This window comes from Homo sapiens, chromosome X (assembly GCF_000001405.40).
Source record: "Homo sapiens chromosome X, GRCh38.p14 Primary Assembly".
NCBI lineage: Eukaryota > Metazoa > Chordata > Mammalia > Primates > Hominidae > Homo > Homo sapiens.
In genome coordinates, this window is record NC_000023.11 from 92,369,832 (window position 1) to 92,392,759 (window position 22,928).

The 22,928-nt window shown below is 35.4% G+C and overlaps 1 protein-coding gene across 13 annotated transcripts in view; it reads left to right on the plus strand.

Annotated features, from left to right (window-relative positions):
- PCDH11X (protocadherin 11 X-linked) overlaps positions 1–22,928 on the plus strand; it is an 843,856-nt gene that overhangs the window by 590,457 nt on the left and 230,471 nt on the right. For 12 of the 13 annotated variants that reach the window (XM_011530911.3, NM_032968.5, XM_011530910.1 and 9 more), the window contains one exon: positions 17,904–18,102. The exons of the other annotated variant lie outside the window; for it this stretch is intronic. In XM_011530911.3, the coding sequence (XP_011529213.1) occupies positions 17,904–18,102 (199 nt within the window). The remainder of the gene's footprint in view (positions 1–17,903; positions 18,103–22,928) is intronic. 13 annotated transcript variants of the gene reach the window in all.

Consider the following 22,928-nt stretch of genomic DNA (forward strand, 5'->3'; position numbering starts at 1 on the left):
TGCCTAACCAGTTCCAATGAGATGAACTGGGTACCTCAGTTGGAAATGACAAAATCACCTTCCTTCTGTGTTGGTCTCGCTGGGAGCTGTACATAGGAGCTGTGCCTATTTGGCCACCTTGGCCCCTCTCCTGTTTCTAGTTCTTGAAGGTGTAAATTTTGGTTGTGAATTTTAGATCTTTAATCCAATCATTTACAAAAAATTGTTTCTTAGCACTGGTTTTCTTTATCTCATAATTTTTTTGCATTTTTTGCATGTTGTGTTTTAATTTTCATTTTCTCAAGATATTTTCTAATGTGATTTTTCTTTCTAATATTTTATAATGTGATTTTTTGACCCAGTAGTTGCTTAAAAGTGTTGTTTAATTTCCACATATTTCAGAATTATCAAGTTTTTTCTACTTTAATATATAGTTTCATTCCATTGTGATTGCAAAAGATATTTTGTATGATTTCATTCGTATTAATTACTATTAGTTTTATGGCCATATATATTATCTATCCTGCAGATATTTCCATGTGTACTTTGGAAAAATGTGTACTCTTTTGATCTCGCGTGATATGTCATGTATATGTTTGTTAGATCCAATTGGTCTATAGTGTTGTTGAAGAGCCATATGTTCTTTTTTCTTTTTTTTTTTTTTTTTGAGACAGAGTCTCGCCTTGTTGCCCAGGCTGGAATGCAGTGGTGTGATCTTGGCTCACTGAAATCTCCACCTCCCAGGTTCAAGCGATTCTCCTGCCCCAGCCTCCCAAGTAGCTGGGATTACAGGCATGTGACACTATGCCCAGCTAATTTTTGTATTTTTAGTAGAGACGGGGTTTCACTATGTTGGTCAGGCTGGTCTCGAACTCTTGACCTCGTGATCCGCCCGCCTCAGCCTCCCAAAGTGCTGGGATTACAGGCGTGAGCCACTGCGCCCAGCCAAAGATCTATATTTTCTTACTGATCATCTTTCTGGTTCTAGCCATTATTGACAATGGAATATTGAAGTCTACTATTTTTGTAGTACTGTCTCCTTTCAATTCTGTTAATGTTGGCTTCATATATTTAGAAGCTCTGATATGTAGTGCATGTATGCTAATAATTATATATTTTTGGTGAATAGACATTTATCAATACATATTGTCCTTTTTTGTCTCTTGTAACGTTTTTTGGTGTAAAATCTATTGCTTACTATTAGCATAGCTATGATTGCTTTCTTTTGGCCACTATTTGCATGGACTATCTGTTTTCACCTTTTATCCTTCAACCTATTTGTGTTCTTACTTCTAACATGAGTCTATTGTAGGCAGTACATACTTAGTTCCTGGTTATTCATTCACTATGCCAGTGTAATGTCTTATAATGTCTTATAATTAAGGTGTTTAATCCATTTAAATTTTAAGCAATTGCTCATAGTCAGGACTTACTATTACCACCATATTATATTTTTTAAAAACTCTCTTTCTTCTCATATGCACCACGAATTGCGTCTGACCTTTTAGAGTATAGGTGACTTTTCTAATGAGATTCAGAAAATAATTTCCACTTGTCCATTTGGCATTTCTACCTGTATGTTCATTACTCTTGAAGTGATTTAAGTAGGAAAAGAGGATGCTACCTTTTAAATTTGTTTCCATTATTTAACTAGAAGAGTTTGTTCATTAAAACATTATACTCCTCAGACATGTCACTTAACTCAGGTATTATGGTACTCTCTTTTGCAAATGTGAGTCCTCAAAAATTCATTAGTGTACTTTTAATTCAACAGATATGTATTGACTTTTACCCATTACATTCTTGGTATTGTTCAAGGTACTGAGTATATCACAGTGAACAAGACAGAGGAAAGCTTCTGCTCTCATGGAGATAGACAATAAGCATAATAAATCAGTAAGTGATATAGTGTATTAGAAGATGTTTATGTGCTGTGCATAAACTAGAGAAGTGTAGGTGGGAATAGCAGTGCCACTTGGGGGTGGGTGATTTGATGGCTTTTGGGTAATAAGGGTTTAGGTACTTTTGGGTAATAAGGGTTTAGGTACTTTTGGGTATATAAGGAAGACAGATTTGGATCATAGTGCCAACAGAGGAGCTATGAATGAAATTAGCATAATTATATTATGATATACAGATGATATTTGAATTTTCTTTATAATGTAAGAAATATATTATATGTCTATTTTATTTATTTATTGAGTATGATTCCTAGCAACAGATAACTAGCTAAATAAACTGCCTTTCTCTTAAGCTCAATGCTAATTGAAAAAGAAATTAAAGCCAGAATCCATGTAGGACAGTGAGGAATTCATGACTATCAATATCAGGATCTCCTTTCAGAGAGCATCACAAAAGTGTGCTGATAGACATGATGAAGGAAAATAAGGAAAATAAAAGATTCTTAGGGGAGGGAATATGCTATTTTTTGTGATAAGCAACTCCTGTTACTTCTCTTTGATAGGTACAGGATTATAATCTAACCCTCAATTTTACCCTGTTTTGAAGAATATGTTTTAAAGTGAGCTTAAATAATACAATATAAAAATTGACTTCTTCAAGTGGCGAGAGCACTCAGAGACGCGACGTGGAGCTGGCGGGTACCGAGCGGGTGCCTCAGTCTCCTTCCCCTCCCCTCGCCTAGCCTTGCCGTCTTCTCCCCGCAGATGGACCGGAACTATGTGATCCCGGAAGTTCTAGGGCCTTTGCTGTGTGTGGGATAAACGGTCATGGCGGAGGCTCCAGCTCCCGTGACAACAGCCACAACATCAGGAGCAGGAGACGCAGCGGCAGCAGCCACAGCGGCCTCCCGCACCCCGATCCCCACAGTCACTGCCCCATCCCCAGTGTCTTATTTGTACAATGTATTTTAAATGAGGTAGCAATGCATTATAAGTATTTAATAATTAGCTTATCAATTGTTACATTATATTTGTCTAAAGTTTGAAAACCACTAATTTTAAGCATGTATCATTGATAGATCATCAAAAACTATATTATTAATAGAACATTTATTTTCAGCTAAATTGAAGAGACGTAGCAGGGTAATAAGGCCCAGCACTTAGATTTGATTATACAATTAAAAATATTTTACACCATAAATGACTATTCATTAACTAGATTGAATCATCTGACTCAAGTTGGTATGTCAATCAAATGAATTTTCAAATGTTTTAAAATAATCATATATTCATACATTGATACTAGGAGATAAAAATATGTTTTAGAGACTGCTAAAAGGAAGGCAAACTTTTGCCCTTACTCTTAGGGTTTTTCTGCTGGATATGGGAATTAAACTGACACGAGACAGGTCAATAGAAGAAATGTATACATATTTATTCAATACAAGTTTTACATGGCATGTGAGTCTTCATAAATAAGGAAATGAAGACCCAAAGTCGCAGTTGGAGTTGAAAACTTACATGCTGTATTGGACAAAATGTAGTAAATTGTGAAAATGTAACAAGGCAAAGGGGTTTGGGCTACAGGAGTTAATTGGGTAGAGTTGTGACTAAGAAGATAAGGTTGGTTTAACAAAGTTTGTACAAATTTCCCTCAGTCTCAATTTTCTGTCCTCGAAGACAAGTTTTCTTGCCTTCCAGTACAAAGAGGATATCTTTCGCATGGGAATTTCGTCTCCTGCTGTTAAGAAACAGAATGAAGGTCAGAGTGAACTTCTTGCACCTGCTGTTTTTCAAATGCCTTTAGCTCAAAATAATTCTTATGCCAAAGAGCATATTCTGGAATGATGTGTTTTAAAATCCTTCACTGCATTAGATTTCAGAGTAAGAAAGGAGCGGAATATAACTCTTAAAAGGATGCTTCTGAATCTTAAAATCTCTGAGAGAAATTAGGAAGTAGGCTTTTCTTGAATGACGCTGAGGTATTAACCACTTCGATTTTTTTAAACAGCTCATTAATAATCAAGTAATTATATCAGAAAGATAATTAGATGTGATCCTTAGAAATGTGCCTACATATTTTAGTGTAAAACTAAAGAGTAATGCTTTACTGAATTAACTGATTTTTTAAACAGAAGACAGTGTTCAAACAAGTGAACTGTATTCATTTACTTTCATTCATCTAAATGAAATTGTATCCTATTTTTCTAAGACTTCACAGCACTCATCCTTTTCTAATAACCAATTTTGCACCGCAACTCCTGTGGCAATTAAAAAAACAATAATTTACTTGCTTGTAGATGTTGCACTACAAAATGAGACATTTTAAAGACCAAGGATGCATGTTCCTATGAGATTGTTTTGAAGTTTTTATATATAATTATATTTAATGAAGTGACTGGTTATAATTTCCATGGTTTCATATAGTCTTTATGTTGTTTTTATTGCATTTTCAAAACCTCACTTTTATATTTGTCATTTTTTTTCTTCAGAAATGAATCATGGAACTTTATATTTTCCTGGCCATTTCTCTTTTTATAATATGAATTTTAAAAATCAATAATGCAACCCTTTAAAAAACATTTACCAAATTTTAAATTTCTGAAGATTATTTTCAATTGAATTATGTGTAACTCACATTTTATCTTTTCCACCACAGAATACTGCTTCAAGTTGCCTCAGTACAAGTTTGTTATCTTAACATTTCTCTTTTATCCAAAGACGATTTATCCATTGTCTCCCAGAGAGTGCTCTTTGTCTCCAGATATTTGCACTTAGCATAGTAATAGTCAGGAAGACCTTTATCAATACTTTAGAATATCAATGAAAAGTCTTTTTTTTCCTCCTAACAAATGAATATTAGATGTGGAAGCTTCACAATATGCCACATTTCTGGTATGATAATTGATTATATTTGTTTGAAGAATGATTCTTCTGCAACGTGAGCTTTTTGTTGGTTCAGTTGAAAATAATAGAAAGATCCTCTGGATCTGAGATGTGTTCAAGTGTAATAAGCAACATTTAACAAATGTTACACTGTTGCCATTTAACAAATGTCTTCGGAATTCAATTGAGCCAGGTTTTAAAGTGATAATCCATATCACCATGTGTGAAATGTAATTCAGATCTTGTTTATCCATATTTAAATTGTGTATAAAATTTATGAAAATGTCCAAAGGCTTATCAAATTGAATTATTAATTACTATCTTGAAATTATTGCTGTCAAATCAATGATTTTTGTTGATATTATATGAATATATGGATAAGCAAACTTAGATGTGATTTCTTCATAATACATTGGCAAGGCAAAATTTTTAAAATGTGCAGTTAATGAAAATTTATCCTAAATATTTGGGATTATTAAATATAAAATTAAACATGCAGATTGTTAAGGGTTTACCTCACTTACTTTTTAATCATTCCATTCATTTATATATATATATATATATATATATTTTTTTTTTTTTTTTTTTTTTTTTTTGAGATGGAGTCTTGCTCAGTTGCCCAGGCTGGATTGCAGTGGCACAATCTCAGCTCACTGCAAGCTCTGCCTCCTGGGTTCATGCCATTCTCCTGCCTCAGCCTCCTGAGTAGCTAGGACTACAGGTACCCACCACCAAGCCTGGCTAATTTTTTTTTGTAGTTTTAGTAGAGACAGGGTTTCACCGTGTTAGCCAGGATGGTCTTGATCTCCTGACCTCATGATCCACCCTCCTCGGCCTCCCAAAGTGCTGGGATTACAGGTGTGAGCCACCGAACCTGGCCCATTCATTTATATTTTTAAGAATTAGTTTATGTTTATATGTATTTTCAATTATTACCTGAAAAATATTTGCTAGTAGTATCTAGTTAAAGATTATTGCATATTTAAAGTGTTTACCTGTTTACATGACTTTTAATATTTTTTTTGTTGTTTCTTTGTTTGTTTTTGAGATGGAGTCTCACTCTGTCGCCCAGGCTGGAGTGCAGTGGCTCAATCTCGGCTCACTGCAATCTCCGCCTCCTGGGTTCAAGCAGTTCCCTGCCACAGCCTACCAAGTAGCTGGGATTACAGGCACCCGCCACCACGCCCGGCTAATTTTTGTATTTTTAGTAGAGACAGGGTTTCACCATCTTGGCCAGGCTGGTCTTGAACTCCTGACCTTGTGATCCACCCTCCTCGGCCTCCCAAAGTGCTGGGATTATAGGCGTGAGCCACCGTGCCTGGCCTTGTTTTGTTTGTTAAAGGCAATTTTTTAAATAACCTGAGAAGGAAATTAAGAAATATTGATGTGCTTAGACTTTTGAAAAGCACTGTGCATATGTGAATGCATGTGCATGTGTGTGTGTATTCTTCCTACCATCAAGATATCTTCTTTATGCCCTTCTTTCCCCTATTAGGTCTGAGCTCATATTTGTAAATGTATATATCACAACATATTTTGCTGTTATTTGGATCAGAGAAAAATCTGTTTCATAAAATGTACCACAAACTGACATGTCAAACTTGTTTTAAAAAATCAATTGCGGGGTGAGCAACTGTCTTTAATTTGAATTTATCCCGTCTTTTATGACCAGTTTCCAACTTAGAGTTTACCCTCTTAACATCGAGTTACTTGTGTTATTTTCTCAAAGTGATGTAATTATTTTGCTTTTGCTTCATTACTGCAACAAAATTTAAATAGATTCATAAATAAGCAATTTTAGAGGAGCATGAAAACTAACAAAATGTAACAAACACACTGAAGAGATTTGATGATTTTCATTTTCACGAAGCTACTGAACAAAAAAAATATCCAGCAGCACTAATATACAGCAAATTCATCTTTCAACAATAGGGCTAACTTAATTCTTTGTGCCATATGTCTATTAGGATTTTAAGCTGCTTGGTTGTCTGTGATCACTAAGTGAAGGTGAAGTCTAGATTAATAAAACACATTTCAAAGGCTGATGTCAAAACAGAAGCAAATGTTCGGAGTGCGCTACTCTTTCTTTAGGTAAAATAAATAGCACCTGATTCTTCCTCTTTTCAGTATCACTTTTTGCAAAAATAAATAAATAAATAAATCCTGTACTTATTTGTGACAATAACTTAATGTTCCATTATGTTTAATTTAACATTCTTTAAATTTAAACATTATTAGCTAATGGCAGTTTTCAAAGTACCACCAGTTCTAACTCCTGACCCTTATGTCAGTTACTAATGAGTCACTTGTGATTTACATTAACATTTGGAAACATGATCAAAATATTTTTTAAAAACAGATAATTTTCCAGTAAGGAAATATTCTATATAATTGCCAGGTACAGTTTTATAGATTCTATGTGTTAATTACTTACTGAAGAATTGTCAAGGTGTAAGTGGAAAGGACAGAAAGGTATCATTTTGAAATTTAATAGGAACTTCAGAGAGCTAGAGACAACACTAGTCTTTTAAAATTGTAAAATATGACCTACTGTATCTTGTAGGATGTAATCTTTTCAATTTGTATATCTTAAATAAACCATTGAATGCACCTCAGAAATCAGAACTTTTGGAAGGCTCATTGCATTTAACATTAGTTGAACTCAGTATTGGACCTAGAGTCATTATACTTATTTGGGAATATTTTATTATGAATGAAGGTGCCCCAACACTACAGTTTATAGAGCTCTTAAGCACAAATCTCTTTTAGCAATATTTTTCCTTCAATGCCATGAGATTCATAGCTCTAATTTTAACAGTCCTATGATCCAACTTGTCTTCATTGTAAATAAAAGCAAAATTTTGTATTATGAAGGCTGTACCAAGCAATAATCAATTCTTATTAAATAGAAAATATGTGATTCCTTTATTCACACAAGCATATAATCTGAAAAAAATATTTTTACTGATTTTATTTTAATCCTTATAGTACCATGCAATTGTCTTAGTTTTTCTTCAGAACAGCATCACTCTAGTATGATCAAATTATCCACAGATAATTTCGTATCTGTGAAGCTCCCCCATCCCACGTTTTTTCATTATATTATACCATGGCCATCTCTGTGTTAATAATGTCATCACTAGATCATATGTATCATTTATCAAAAGTGAGCAGGAACACATCCTGAATGCAAAATCATTCTAGTAATAGCAACTAATTAAAGTGAATTAAAAGTGAACTGATTAAACTGTATAGTTAATGGATGTAGTGGCTTGAAAATATAAAATTATATATATATATATCCAAAGACAATTCATCAATTTTGCCAAGTAAAAGTGAATATATTCTTGTTTCAGAATTGGTCTCTTATTTTTAAGATAATCCTATGACTTTTGAATGTTATAGAATTTAATTATTCAGCAGAAAACAAATTGTAATCATGATTTCTCTGATCAATACAATGTATTTTTGATCTACAAAGAGGGTATATGAGCAATAAAAATCCCAGAAATGTTGCCCATAATGATTTCAAATGCCTTAGAATGATTATTATTATAAATTTAGAAAGATATTTTTGTGTAGATTTATTTTTGATTTTTACGAAAAATAATGATTTTTGAGAGTTTTTATTTCATAGTTTCACGGTAAGTTGTCTTGTTTAATGGTCCTCTAATGAGTGTCAGGGTAAGAGATGTGATTAAATATAATATTGTGGCAAAAGGAGATGTCTATAGAATAAAAATTGTGAAATAATCATATTCTAAAATTGTTCTAATTAGGGTAGTCTGACATCATTAGAATTTCATTACTCTAATATGATCATATTAAAATGCCAAAAAAAGAGTCTATTATAAACATATTTAGAAAACTTAATCAGCATTCCCAGTTTTCTCTCATACACACATATAAATATATATGTTTCTGAAATTATCAAAGAACCATGTCTTAATCTGCTCAGGCTGCTAGAACAAAATGCTATTAACTAGGTGGCTTATAAACAACATAAATTTATTTCTCAGAGTTCTGGAGGCTAAGAAGTCCTAGATCAAGTTGTTGGCAAATTCAGTGTCTGGTGAAGGCTCACTTCCTGGTTCATAGACAAGGAGGCATCTTTTCACCGTGTACTCACATGGCAGAAAGGGTAAGAGATCTTTGAAGTCACTTATATAAGGGCACTAATCTGATTTATAAGGGATCTACCCTCATGACCTAAGCACCTCCCAAAGGCCAACTTCCAGATGCCATCACATTAGTGATTATGTTTTAACATATGAATTTTAGGGTGACACAAACATTCACTCTATGGTAGACCATGTGGCTTAAATAATCTGAATCTTACTTCGGACCTACTAAAACAGAACAGAATATTTGAATTTTGAAACCCAGGAATTTGTGATGGCAGTGGCGGCTGTCTGGAGTGGCCACTGCCATGACACCAGCTGCAGTGGGGGAGGCGTGACCAGGGTTGCATGCTCCATGGAGCCTGTGGGAACCAGGAACAGGTGGGAGCCCCACCTCCTTCTGAATTGGAGGGGTGAGGGCCTCGCCCTCCCAGGTGCAGTTGCAGGGGCCCAGCTGGGACTGCTGCCCCAGGTATCCTGTGCTCTTGGGGACCCAGGAAGCCCTCCTGCCCCAGCAGGCTTGAAAGAGCCTGCACCTGCTGCTTGGCCTCTCAGCTCTCCAGCTGCCCATTCCAATTTTGGAGCAAAGTTGAGGCCAAGCCTGGGCACTGTGGCAACCTGGTGGGATGTGTGTGAGCTTTTGGCGGTGCTGACATGCCTATGGCTGCCTCAGCCCCCTCCAGACTTTGACCACCCACAAACAAGGGAGGGAAGCAGAGGGGGTGCTGAGGGCAGCTGGGCATGGGCCTGAAGGTGCCCTTTGGCATGAACAGCCTGGGTGCCATAGATGACATGATTGATAGTGGGTGCCATGGGTGACATGATTGATAGCGTCAGGAGGCATAGAGGCTTCTGCTCAGAAAAGGGCATGTCCCTGGTGAAGTCCCACCTTCCGGTCAGAGAAGGCCTGAAGCCTGGGGGCCCGTTGGCCAGTTCCTCAGACCAGAGTGAGAATGCGTGCTTTTTCTGGCCTGCCTATGGCTGTCCATGGACCAATCAGCATGGACTTTCTCCCGTCTCAAGCCCATAAAAACTCCAGGACTCAGTGAGAATTGGACAAACGACAGATGACCTAACTGCTGTTAGGAGCTACCCACTCCGTGTCTTCTGAGAGGTGCGCTTTCACTCAACAAAGCATCTCTTCACTTTGCTCACACTCCAATTGTCTGCATACCTCATTCTTCCTGGACACAGGTCTCAGGACCCACCAAATGGCAGGACTGAAAGAGCTGTAACACAAACAGGGCTGAAACACCACCCCCCCCACCCCAACTTGCCACGTTGGGGGTGATGAGGATAGAAGAGAGCATAAGAGAAGAGCTGTGCCCTTTGGGGAGCCTGGACCTAGGAGCTCCCTGAGCCAGGGCTGTGACACCCTTTTTGGGGCTCTGTGGGTCCTGGCATCTCCAAGATTCCAGGTGCCACCATGTTCCCTGGTGCCCAATTCACTTGCAGTACAGTTGGTTCAGCTGCAGCCTTGCAGGGATCCAGTGCCCACGCTGGCACCTGCAGCTGCCCACCTCACCACAGCCAGTGTACCTGGTTATGCGCAGTGGCCGGAACTTGTGCTTGCTCACTCACACACCCCTCTCCTCCCTGCATTTGACTTGCCTTTGGCAGGCATGGGATCCGGGCTGGTAGTGAGACCTGAGTGCAGCCTGCCAAGCCGAGTGGGTGGAATAAGCCCAGTGGGCCCGAGCAAAACTCGAGCAAAGGCACCATCGGCCACAGAGGTTTCTGTCTGGTGAAGCAACACCCCGAAGATCTTGTGACATATGCATGATTAACAAATTAACTAGGTGATTTCTACGTAGCTGATGTTTTGAAAACCACTTGATAGCTACTGGTTGCTGTAGCTAGCTATCAATTTTATCCAAATTTTCATTCCCTTATCTAATTCCCAAATGTTATGAAAGGCAACAAAAGTAGTGTTACAAAAGGTCCAAATAATATATTGGAGGTAAATATATAAGATTGATTTATGGGTTTTAGAGTTGGAGACTATATCTTTCTACTAGTTTGTATTCCCATCCTCAATTTAGAAATAATTAAGAAGTATATTTTTATACCTTTTTAAGAAAAATGAAAAGGACAGTGCCATATCAATTTACTCCTTGGACCATAGCATAATGATCTTTTTTTTTTTTTAATTCTTTAACTTGTCAGTCACTTTGAGGTTATTTTTAATACCGTGTGTGTGTATGTGTGTATGTGCGTGTGGAGTATGTGGGTGTGGTAGACAGTATATAGAGATATTTTTGTTTGTATGGAAAATAAGTAGAGGGGAGTCTGCTTTTAGAAGAAATACACCTCTGTAGAGAGATCCACAAGTAAAAGACTACAGCAACACTACAGATATTAGTTGATTACAATTCCTCCCCACAACTCCACCCACAACTATATTTACCACAACGTTGCTTGCTACTATCTTCCACACTGGTGAATATTATTACTGGAAGATGCAACTATTTTAATTTATTATTTGATTATCTATGATGATTATAGAACTTCAATGTTTTTTAAATGTAAGAAAAGTTTAAAGGAAACATTGGTCTATTCATCTTATATTAATTTCCAGGAAGTGACACATATTACAAAGCAGCAATTGTTTTCCATGTGCTAATGAACACCAGGTAAAAAAGATGAAACAAACATGTTTCATATACACCAGAATGGGTCTAAAACAAATATGTTACCACTATCCATAAACTCAACACACTAACGAAATTGCTAGCATACTAGCCGATGTGTGCATTCTCCAATTTTATTAGGAATACATTCTAATAATTATTATTTAAAAACTGATATTTATTCACCATCATAACTTTTTGTTGCATTTTTTACTAACATTAAACAAGAAATATTTTGATCCAAGCGTTTATGCCATTAATGACAATGCCAGGTTTTTCCTCTTTCGTTGTATGCTACAAAATTATTCCAACATCTAATCCAAGTCAGAAACCATCTGTTGCTTGAATGACATTTGGCTTGTTTAAAATGTATTAATTAAACAGACATGTTGTGTAACTATGGCAAAGGGAGAATTATTTTGCAAATATAAAGGAGTGACACCAGAGATGAAGCAGTGTTCAAACCAAACTTGTGGCTTATTTTATGGAAACATATTTTCAAATAACAACTAGAAAAACTTAACTATTGACTAATATTCTTAAAAATAAAATGATTATTTGGATCATATGTGATCCATGGTTCCATCATCTCCCAAGTCTATTTCATCACTGACAATGGAGTAAGTAGTTTAGGTTTGATCTTGTTAATTATGCTAGTAGACTACAGGGACAAAAATGAAAAGGGTTAATATACTGAGTAATTACAAATCATTTGGCTAAGAGACAGTACCTATGGGAAAAAAATGCAGAAATCCTCTGACTTTCAGAATGAGGTTGTTTACTATTATAAAATGTGGGAACTTGGAATCTTAAAGTATTCTTAATAGTTTGAAATTCAAAAGATTTTATACGTAAATCAAAAGCAAACTTGCATATGGTAATCCTTAGAAAGTAATGACCCTACATATGATTACTCTTTCTAATCAGAGTTACTGGTGATGACAGTGAATCTAAAGGAAGATTGGGTTAGAGTGTATTAGGTTTGAACTCATGGCGTGTGCAAGGTTGTATAAGTAATTCTAATGAGCCTTCTCTAACATGATACTCAAGTATTCTATAATTAGAATCACAGGGTCACCTATCTGCATGCAGCCTCTTTGGTGCCAGATTAACCTGTCCAAAATGCCACTTGCATCATGTTGTGAAATGTAAAAATATTTACCTGATAATTACTATGAAATGATGCCTTCATGAGGTTTAATGGACACAAGAATGCTGGGGATTTGATATTTAGTCTGTAAATGATTTATGTGAATGACACCAATATAATTTCTGGGTATTGTTGTGTTCTGGAATTTTGATTCATTTGAGCTAAAAATGAGGTGTGTGGATTTTAGGGAGAGGTATCCTGTGCTATTTCTCTCTGCTACTGGCAGAAAATAACTAGCTTTTCAGGGCAAATATTTATTCATGAAAACGCCAGGATTTATTTCCATCCCATAAAGTCACTGTTCCAGTCAATAGATTTGTTTTAATTTCTGTGTCACAACTTCTCTGCAGGGCTACAGACAGAAATTTGTCATGAACAAATTATGACATGAATATTAATGTAGTAGCCCTTTTATACTGCACAATAATTATCTTTAACCAGCTTTTCCATATTGAAAAATTAGCCTTCCAGATCAGAGGTCTTCAAACCATGGCCTTTAGAGCCAAATGATGAAGAAGTTCAAGCAAAACATTATATTTAATAATACATAAAAGTACCTAAATTTTAAATTTTAATGTCCATAAGTACAGTTTTATTGGAACACAGGCAGGCCCATTCAGTTTCATATTGTCTATGGCTGTTTTTACACTTCAACATTAGGGTTAAGTAGTTGAGACAGAGACTGTATCATATGGCCCACAAAGCCTAAAATATTTACTATCTCATTCTTTACAGAAAAAGTTTGCTGAACCTTCAGTTTAATGGTTATAAGAGGGGTCCTAGAGGATGATTAGTTTATCATTCTTAAAACTGTAGATAAATGTTTTTTTTTTTTTTTTTAATTATACTTAAGTTTTGGGATACATGTGCAGAACGTGCAGGTGTTTTACATAAGTATACACATGCCATGGTGGTTTGCTGCATCCATCAACCCATCATCTACATTAGGTATTTCTCCTAATGCTATCCCTCCCCTAGCCCCACACCCTCCAACAGGCCCCAGTGTGTGATGTTTCCCTCCCTGTGTCCATATGTTCTCATTGTTCAACTCCCACTTAAGAGTGACAACATGCAGTGTTTGGTTTTCTGTTCCTGTGTTAGTTTGCTGAGAATGATGGTTTCCAGCTTCATCCATGTCCCTGCAAAGGAAATGAACTCATCCTCTTTTATGGCTGCATAGTATTCCATGGAGTGTATGTGCCACATTTTCTTAATCCAGTCTATCATTGTTGGACATTTGGGTTGGTTCCAAGTCTTTGCTATTGTGAACAGTGCCGCAATAAACATACACGTGCATGAGTCTTTATAGTAGAATGATTTATAATCCTTTGGGTATATACCCAGTAATGGGATGGCTGGGTCAAATGGTATTTCTGGTTCTAGACCCTTGAGGAATCGCCACACTGTCTTCCACAATGGTTGAACTAATTTACACTCCTACCAACAGTGTAAAAGTGTTCCTATTTTTCCACATCCTCTCCAGCATCTGTTGTTTCCTGACATTTTAATGATCACCATTCTAACTGGTGTGAGATGATACCTCATTGTGGTTTTGATTTGCATTTCTCTAACGACCATTGATGATGAGCTTCTTTTCATGTTTGCTGGCCGCATAAATGTCTTCTTTTGAGAAATGTCTCTTCATATCCTTTGCCCACTTTTTAATGGGGTTGTTTGTTTTTTTCTTGTAAATTTGTTTAAGTTCTTTGTAGATTCTGGGTGTTAGTCCTTTGTCAGATGGATAGATTGCAAATATTTTCTCCCATTCTGTAGGTTGCCGGCTCACTCTGATGATAGTTTCTTTAAATGTTGTAAATTTTTTATATATTATGAATTTCTAAATAGATCCAACAAGCTATTGACAATGTTTTAGTTAGTTTATTTACAAGAATGCAAATGTAACCACCCAGTGGGTTCACCTTGCCCGCTGCCTAGACAGAGCCGATTTATCAAGACAGGGGGATTGCAGTAGAGAAGGAGTAATTCACGCAGAGTTGGCTGTGTAGGAGTCCAGAGTTTTATTATTACTCAAATAAGTCTCCCTGAGCATTTGGGGAGAGAGTTTTTAAGGACAACTTGGTGTGTGAGGGGAAGCCAGTGAGCCAGGAGTGCTGATTGGTCAGTGGTGAAATCGTAGAGATTCAAAGCTGTCTTCTTGGGCTGAGTTAGTTCCTGGGTGGGGGCCACAAGATCAGATGAGCCAGTTTATCGATCTGGGTGGTGCCAGCTGGTCCATCAAGTGCAGGATCTGCAAAATATCTCAAGCACTGCTTAGGAGCAGTTTAGGGAGGGTCAGAATCTTGTAGCCTCCAGCTGCATGACTCCTAAACCATAATTACTAATCTTGTGGCTAATGTTAATCTTACAAAGGCAATCTAGTCCCCAGGCAAGAAAGAGGTCAGCTTTGGGAAAGGGCTGTTAGTGTATTTGTTTTAAACTATAAACTAAGTTTCTCCCAAAGTTAGTTCAGCCTATTCCCAGGAATGGACAAGGACAGCTTGGAGGTTAAGAAGCAAGACGGAGTTGGCTAGGTTAGATACCTTTCAGTGTCTCAGTCATAATTTTGCAAAGGCGGTTTCACAAGGGCTTATTTAGTACTCTGAGACTTTAGAGTTGAAGCAACTAAACTTTTTATAAACTTTTATGAAACTCTGCTTTTGAAGAATAGAGTATTGATGATTATTTCAGTAGCTCCCTACTAAATATCTTTAGTACTAATAAATAATAGATGACTGACAGGCTAGGTAATCCATGTATTTTAATGCCCTGTAATTCAGGGTAACATTCGGATTATGTCTCTGTAGAGGTGATCAGAAGACGACCTGAAGCTTTTATTTTCCTCTTTTCACTGTGGGTTCTAGATACAAAGACAAACAGAAAAAGGGATATTGACTAGGCAAAAGCATACAAAAAGATATTTCAGTTACATTATTTCCCTGATAAATGCTTTAAATCTTAGAAAATACAGTGTGGTTTAATCAGATAATACAGTCAATGTCACTCTTCACAGCTTCCACACAACCTAACACTCATCCCCCAAAAAACTAAAACCAAGGCTGGGTGAGGTGGCTCATGCCTGTAATCCTAGCACTTTTGGAGGCCTAGATGGGTGGATTGCTTGAGCTCAAGGGTCGAGACCAGCCTGGGCAACATGGTGAAACCCCATCTCTACCAAAAATACAAAAAATTAGCTTGGCGTGGTGGTGTGCACCTATGGTTCTAGTTACTTGGGAGGGTCGCTTGAGCCTGGGAGGTAGAGGTTGCAGTGAGCCAAGATTGTGCCATTGCATTCCAACCTAGATGACAGAATGAGACCCTGTCTAAAACAAAACAAAACAAAACAAACAACAGCAAAAACCCCTGCCTTCTGAACTCCTCAATATTACTTAGTTCCAGCAAGCTTTTCTTTTATTCAGTTTATTTTCTGCTCGTACTAATTCTGCTAAGAGTTACCTTAACCAACACCACCCACTACTCCCTCTGAGAGGCCCAAAGGAATCCTGTCCGGCTGTTACACTTACATGTAGAAAATCAGCAGACTATTTCTCATTAGAAGAAGTAATTTTATGTTCAGAAACATATTCCATAAGATATATTACATATTACATGCATTAGTCATTTTCTCCTATTTTATTGAGACTTTAATATAAAAAATAATGGCTAAAAACTAAAGAAGATTCAAGTGAGCTACTTAAATATTTTATGCATCTATTATATTTTCATATATCTTCCAATAAGTTTGAAGTATGATATTCAAATCTTTTCATAGCTCCATCTGAAGAAATGGCTGACTGTTAGACCTGAATTTGTGAAAACATATGCATTCTGTTATGAAAATGCCTAGGATGTAAATTCTTGTGATCTTTGATATATGCAAATCTCTTAAATAAATTATACCTAATTTGAAGCTTTCATGCTGCCAGTAGTTTAGTGCTTTGGTTGATCTATTGTTACATAGCAAACCATCAGTAATCTTTGGGGACATAAAAATCAATAGTCCTTCTTAATTTTTAGGTCAGGAATTTAGGTAGTGTACAGCAGATATAGCTATTTCTGCTCCACAATGACTGCTGCCTTAAGTAGGGGGTGCTCAAATGTCTGAAGATAGTTAGGATGACTCCAATAAGGCCACCAGCTGGAATGTTCATAATGGATTCTTCATGTACATATCCGGCACCTGAACTTGAGTGGCTGGAACAGCTGGGCCTCTCTCGGCATTGTAGTCTCTTTTTATACAGTCTTTCCACGAAGCTAGCTTGAGCTTCCCCACAGTATGGCATGCTCCCAGTACTCAAACTACTTTCAATGCAGCTGTAATTTTCCATGGTGAGTTTTCCAAGGGTGCAAAGCAGAAGCTACAAGGTTTGATTACAGAGTCTGTGCAGATTCAATGTGGTCTCAGGCTATTTGAAAGTCTGAATATCAAGAGGTGATGTCCATTGGGGAGCCTATTTTTGGAGACTACTACATATAGCATAGCAATGCTGCAAACAAAAATGCTGCTACAAGATCTGGTGAAGATGTTACAAACTTCTTCTTTCGGAAACCAAATGCTTCATCTTTATCTTTTTATTTGTATATATATTTTTATATTCTGCTAGGAATACCATTTATGATGATAACTATAATTTGTTTTCATAATTGCCATAAACTGTTATCCATATTATGTAATTACCTTTTTCTTAGAAAGTAAAATCAATGTAAATAAATTCCAATTCAAAATTTTGTCCCTAAGATTCTTCTAAAAGATGATGTACTTTTAGTTTTCTAAGCCTACATGATTGAATAAATTTGTGTTATTATTCACAGTTTCAGCTCACTAGCAACTTACAGATACAGCAAAAAAGTATGGTTATATTTATCCACACTTATTATTCAAAAAATAAGTTATTGCCAAATAATACCTAAATAAATACATGTTAAAATTATGATTGGAATTTCCAGTTTGCTCAAATATGCTATAAAGCTGACTGTCTCTTGCTTTAGAACAAGTTTACTTTCATTCTGCATCTGGCTGTGCCTTGTTTCGAAATATAATGGAAGCAACACTGCCTTCAGGTGAAGAAGGTTTGAACACAGAATTGTGTTATTCACAAAAGCCTGAAATTGTTCACAACTCAAGATAATGTTAATGTGTCTTCACCAGATAGCCGAAATAATGCATTTTCTAAATTGCAGCATTAAGCAATTATTCAGATCATATCTGAAACCCTGTAATTTTCATTCTCCCTTTCAGTCCCAGCGGCGTGTCACATTTCACCTGCCAGAAGGCTCTCAGGAAAGCAGCAGTGATGGTGGACTGGGAGACCATGATGCAGGCAGCCTTACCAGCACATCTCATGGCCTGCCCCTTGGCTATCCTCAGGAGGAGTACTTTGATCGTGCTACACCCAGCAATCGCACTGAAGGGGATGGCAACTCCGATCCTGAATCTAGTAAGTGATACCTCTCTGGTTCCTCAATATAAACGGGCTTACTGTGTTTGCAACTCAAGCTATCATAGCCATAATAACATGGGCTAATTCATTATGTTATTGTGAATAGTGACACATTTTTGAAAGGTAAACATACAGAATTAGATGGATGGCAAGTATAAGGCAGTTTATAATATTTTAAATGTGTGATCATAACTACGCTGAATGAAATTTATTATAGCGACTTTGTTAAGGCATAGATAGAATTTTCCATTTATGTACACCTGTATATTTATTTGTATATAAACAGCCAATTTATTTTATTTTATTCATTTATTTGTGAAGGTATAAATTTTTTCTTATATATAAAAATTATTTTCTAGATTTTATTTTTATTTTTAGTAGAGATAAAAACCATTGACAGTTATTTTCTTTCTGAGGAAATAAGAGATCCTGACTCCAATGTAGGAGAGGGCATCTGAGGTTTTCAGCAATATACTGAAATCACACACCTGTGCCATGTTACTGTTTAGAAAGGTATTCACATTTGGTCTTCAGACAGAAGGCACAAAATCTGTGTTTTGCAAATTCCAAAGATGTTGAACTCTTTAAAAGGATCATAGAGTTGATATTAAATAAAATTTCATTAAATGTATTATCTTGAACGTGTAGCGAACAACCTTGCTGATTTATAATTTCAGGAAATACAAAATTTGATAAGATATATATTTCTCAGAAGAGTCTTGAAATTGCAAGAAGCTACAATTTGCTCCATTTATGTTATGTACATAAAAGTATGTAGATACAAAAAAGCATACAATGTATGTGAGAAAAAAGTCATAGCCATAAACCAATATGAAAAAAAATGGGCCAAATACCTGGCAAAAACATAAATAAGGTAATATAAACTAGACATTTTGAAAGGTTATTTTGAGCATTATGGATTGCAGGGATGTATAATTCAAATAAAGCTTCTAGGCTTTAGAACAAAATAGCTTCCCTATCATTGTATTTTAATCCTCTATTTTTGAAACTTCAAAAAATAGGGAAATGGATTGGCTAAACATTATGATATAATCTAAGGCTAAACATATGGAACCAATGACAACATAACATCAACTTTTTCTCTCTACAGATGTAGATGCTATATATTATAGGTATTTTTAATGTAAAAATATTAGAGACTTTTGAGTCAGCAAGTTCAGACAGTCCTAAAAATCTACTATCTCCATTTTCAATTTTATACTTGGAATAAATGATCAACATTTGTTCTGAAGATAAAAAATTCCCCTATACCTTGTGTCACTAAACTATCTTTAATTTACTTTGTTTAGTACAGCAAAATGACTCCTGGTAGAAATACATAGTTGTGATTATATTTACTTGTGTAATGAACTAAGAGCTAATCTCTAATAAGAATATGATCATAAGTAACAAATACACATTAAGCAAGGGTGCCACTGATCTTCTTTACTCCATAAATCATTGTTTTAGTTGTAGGTCTATCATGCCCTGTTAAATAAGAATATAGAAATGGGATAAGTATCATTTTTATAAACTAGAAAGAGTTGATTCATTTGTACATGACGTGTTACTAAGCCTCTTTCATAGAGGATTGCATAGCAACAATTAAAGAGTAAACTCAGAGTAAGCATCCACAGTGCACATCTCACCCTGAAATAAAATTCCAACTGAATGAGACTCAAATGGAATACTGTTGATAATAATAGGAGAATTGGTATGTGTCAGAAATAGTAAAACATTTAACATTAAATATAGCTTTATTAATCCCAATTATATTTAGAAATAAGTAGTTGTTTTAAAAAGTATTCAAATGCATAGTTCTTAACAGAAGCTGATCTTGTTTATAGTTAAGGATATAAGTGCTAGCATCAATGTATTAGCTGATATACTTAGGGGCTTTTTTTTTTAAAAAAAGGGTGCTTTCTGTTAGGAGCTAAACATTTCTCTCTTCTAATTATATTTACACTATTATCTTGAACATTAAATATCTTGTTCATATTTACTCTACAGGATGAAGGACTCACAAAATTTGCATTAAAAACTTTAGTTGCTCAATCGATTTTATTTTAAAATCTAGATGTCTGTGGGCAATGATAATAGTAAAGCAAAGTATATATTTTGCTGCTTATTATTTTAATAAACTTATGCAAAGGGTAGATATAATTAAAAATGAATGCCCATTTTCTACAAGTCTAACAATATTGTTAAGTGAATGTTTAAATGTTATTTTTTTACTATGAATAATACTAAGAAACTGCTCTCCTACTAAATGTGAAACCTCCCCCCTAAATCATGTTCCAAGAAAATTTTGGTTAGGAGTTTTGTTTTGGGACAGTCAGAGACCTTACTAAAAGTGCAAGAAGCGCAATAATTTACTTGAAATGAAGCTCCATTGTCTTAATGTGTCACGGTAGTGAAATGTTTAACATAGTACGTGTGTGTGTGTGTGTGTGTGTGTGTGTGTGTTGTTTTAATTAAAAAGAAAAAACATAGCTGGTTTAGAATTGGCCATAGCAAAGTATTCTCTTTAGGCTAATACTGATGATAAGGTATTTTGATTCTTCAAAAAGCAAAGCTATAGCTCTGAAATAGCACCCAATAATGGGTTTTATGATATGGAGCAGATGCCAATAAACTGTGCAGTGTTTGTCAATAGCACCACTGATAGGAATGTAAAGTGTCAGAGGAAATAAATGCTGTCCTTAAGCAATGGAATTAATTTATGCAGTTCCCATTTCACATTTTGAAATGTATTACATCTTCAATCTGCTTTCTTTCTTGCTAGTGAATTGCCAAAATAGCACATAGTTCTGCAAATCCTTTGTAAATTCACAAAACAGGAATAAACATGACATTTATGAATAAGGGTATTCTGTAAAATTTGCTAGAGGGATTTATTAATACTGCTTTAAAAATATAGTTCCCTGGTTGATAAAAATCTGCTGCTTAGGTGAAGAAATCACACAATTCATTCTCTTAAGTCTTTTGCCAAGACTATTAACTTTTCTTTTTAAAATACAGAAAACAAACTCAAGCCAATTATTACTCTTTGAGGAGACAAAGTCAATAAAATATCCTGTCTCATTCCATCTGAAGACTTTGTAATTTTTAAATTTTATAATTGCAATCTCTTTACTGTGGCCATTGGACTAAGGGTCACTTAATGCCATTCTATACAGTTCTGTCTTCCTTGGATGACAGCTTATATTCTAGACCTTTCCTCCTACCATAGCCTCATCAGATTATTTACAATGAACCCTGCTCTTTGAAGCTAGTTAATTTGTTAAAAAGCAAAAACAAAATAGAAACCCAATTCAAAAACAGCACTATTGATTGCTGCTGGGTTACTGTGGATACTGGAACAGATAATGTCCGCATTTTCAAAGGATTTTCTTGAGACACATTCATGGAGACACATGTGGCCCTGGTAAAGAACAAGTTGTGAGTCTACTTTTGAGGATTTTACATATCCAGGTATAGTGTTAACTCAAAGATTTGAGGACAGTGAGATCCTCTTGGGACTACTGTAAACACATTAAACTATGTATGGCCCTATGTTCCTATCTACTTATTTTTAAGTAGTCTCAGGTAAAATATGATTTTTGAGGATATGATTTAAAAATGCTTTCCAATTTGTTTTCTAAATTTTTTTTCTGTTTTTATGATTCAGACTGAGTTCTGAGACATATAGAAATATTAGCAAATGTCTACACATTAAACTTCTGAGATTTTTTAATACTCTATGTTTATGAAGCCAGGGTTTTTATGTTTTGTCCTCAAATAGAGAATGCATTGCTGCTATTTCACTATAGGTAAGTTGGATCTAAAAGGGTAACTACTAATATTTTTACATTTCTACTGATCTGCTGGCATATTATAATTTTCCAGCTTCATTGGAAGAGATAAAATAGCCATAATTCTTTGGAAGATAAATGGAGAAATAGAGTATTGCTAAAGAGGCTCAAATCAGTCTTCAGCTTTCTAGTCATAAATCAGTTCAATTGCAGAGAAAAATCCCCCTAAAATGAAGAGGAGAATGATTTAGTTTATATCAGTATTTTAATTTTCTTCAACTGAACAAGTTATGTCATCTGTATTTTTTAAAACCTCTTCATTGTATGTGATCATTTCACGCATGAAGTCACTCTATCTGAAAATGTTATAGCTGGTCTAGTGTCTAGCATTGAATCTTAAAGTAACAAAATACTTGAGTGAAATTTCTTCATCTTCCCCCAAAAAAGTTAATGCTTTTCCTCTTTTTGTATACCATAGTCATTTCTGTGATACAAAAGAAGAAAATATAGAGTTTCAAGAACATTTAGGGCTAAAAAATTATATGTTTAAAATAAAGATAAATATATGTTTTTATTAAAATGATGTCTGCTAGAGTTTATCTCAGGTTAGCAAATCTGTTTGACATTCATTTTTATTTCAGTAGATCAGGTTTGCTTAGCACTCAAATACACTACTAATTAATTCACAACAAGGAAGTAATTAATCTTTCCCTGGCAAGGCACTTTGATTGATCTTCTACCAGTAATCTAATAAATTGGTATAAAAAGTGGGAGACCAATTTGATTGACTAGAATGAATTTCTACTCAGAGAAATGCCAGATTTTCTCCTGATCTGCTAAGAGTATTGACATGAATAACACTAGGGTAATTACTAGTAAGTGTTTGAACATCTCATTATTTGAATATCTAATTCTAAAGGTAGACTACTGGTAAAATTAAAAAATCAAAACCAAAAACTGTGAAACTTTAAAAGAATAAGCTAGTAATGGGTCATTAAAACTCAGCCTTTCATAATTAAAAACATTAGG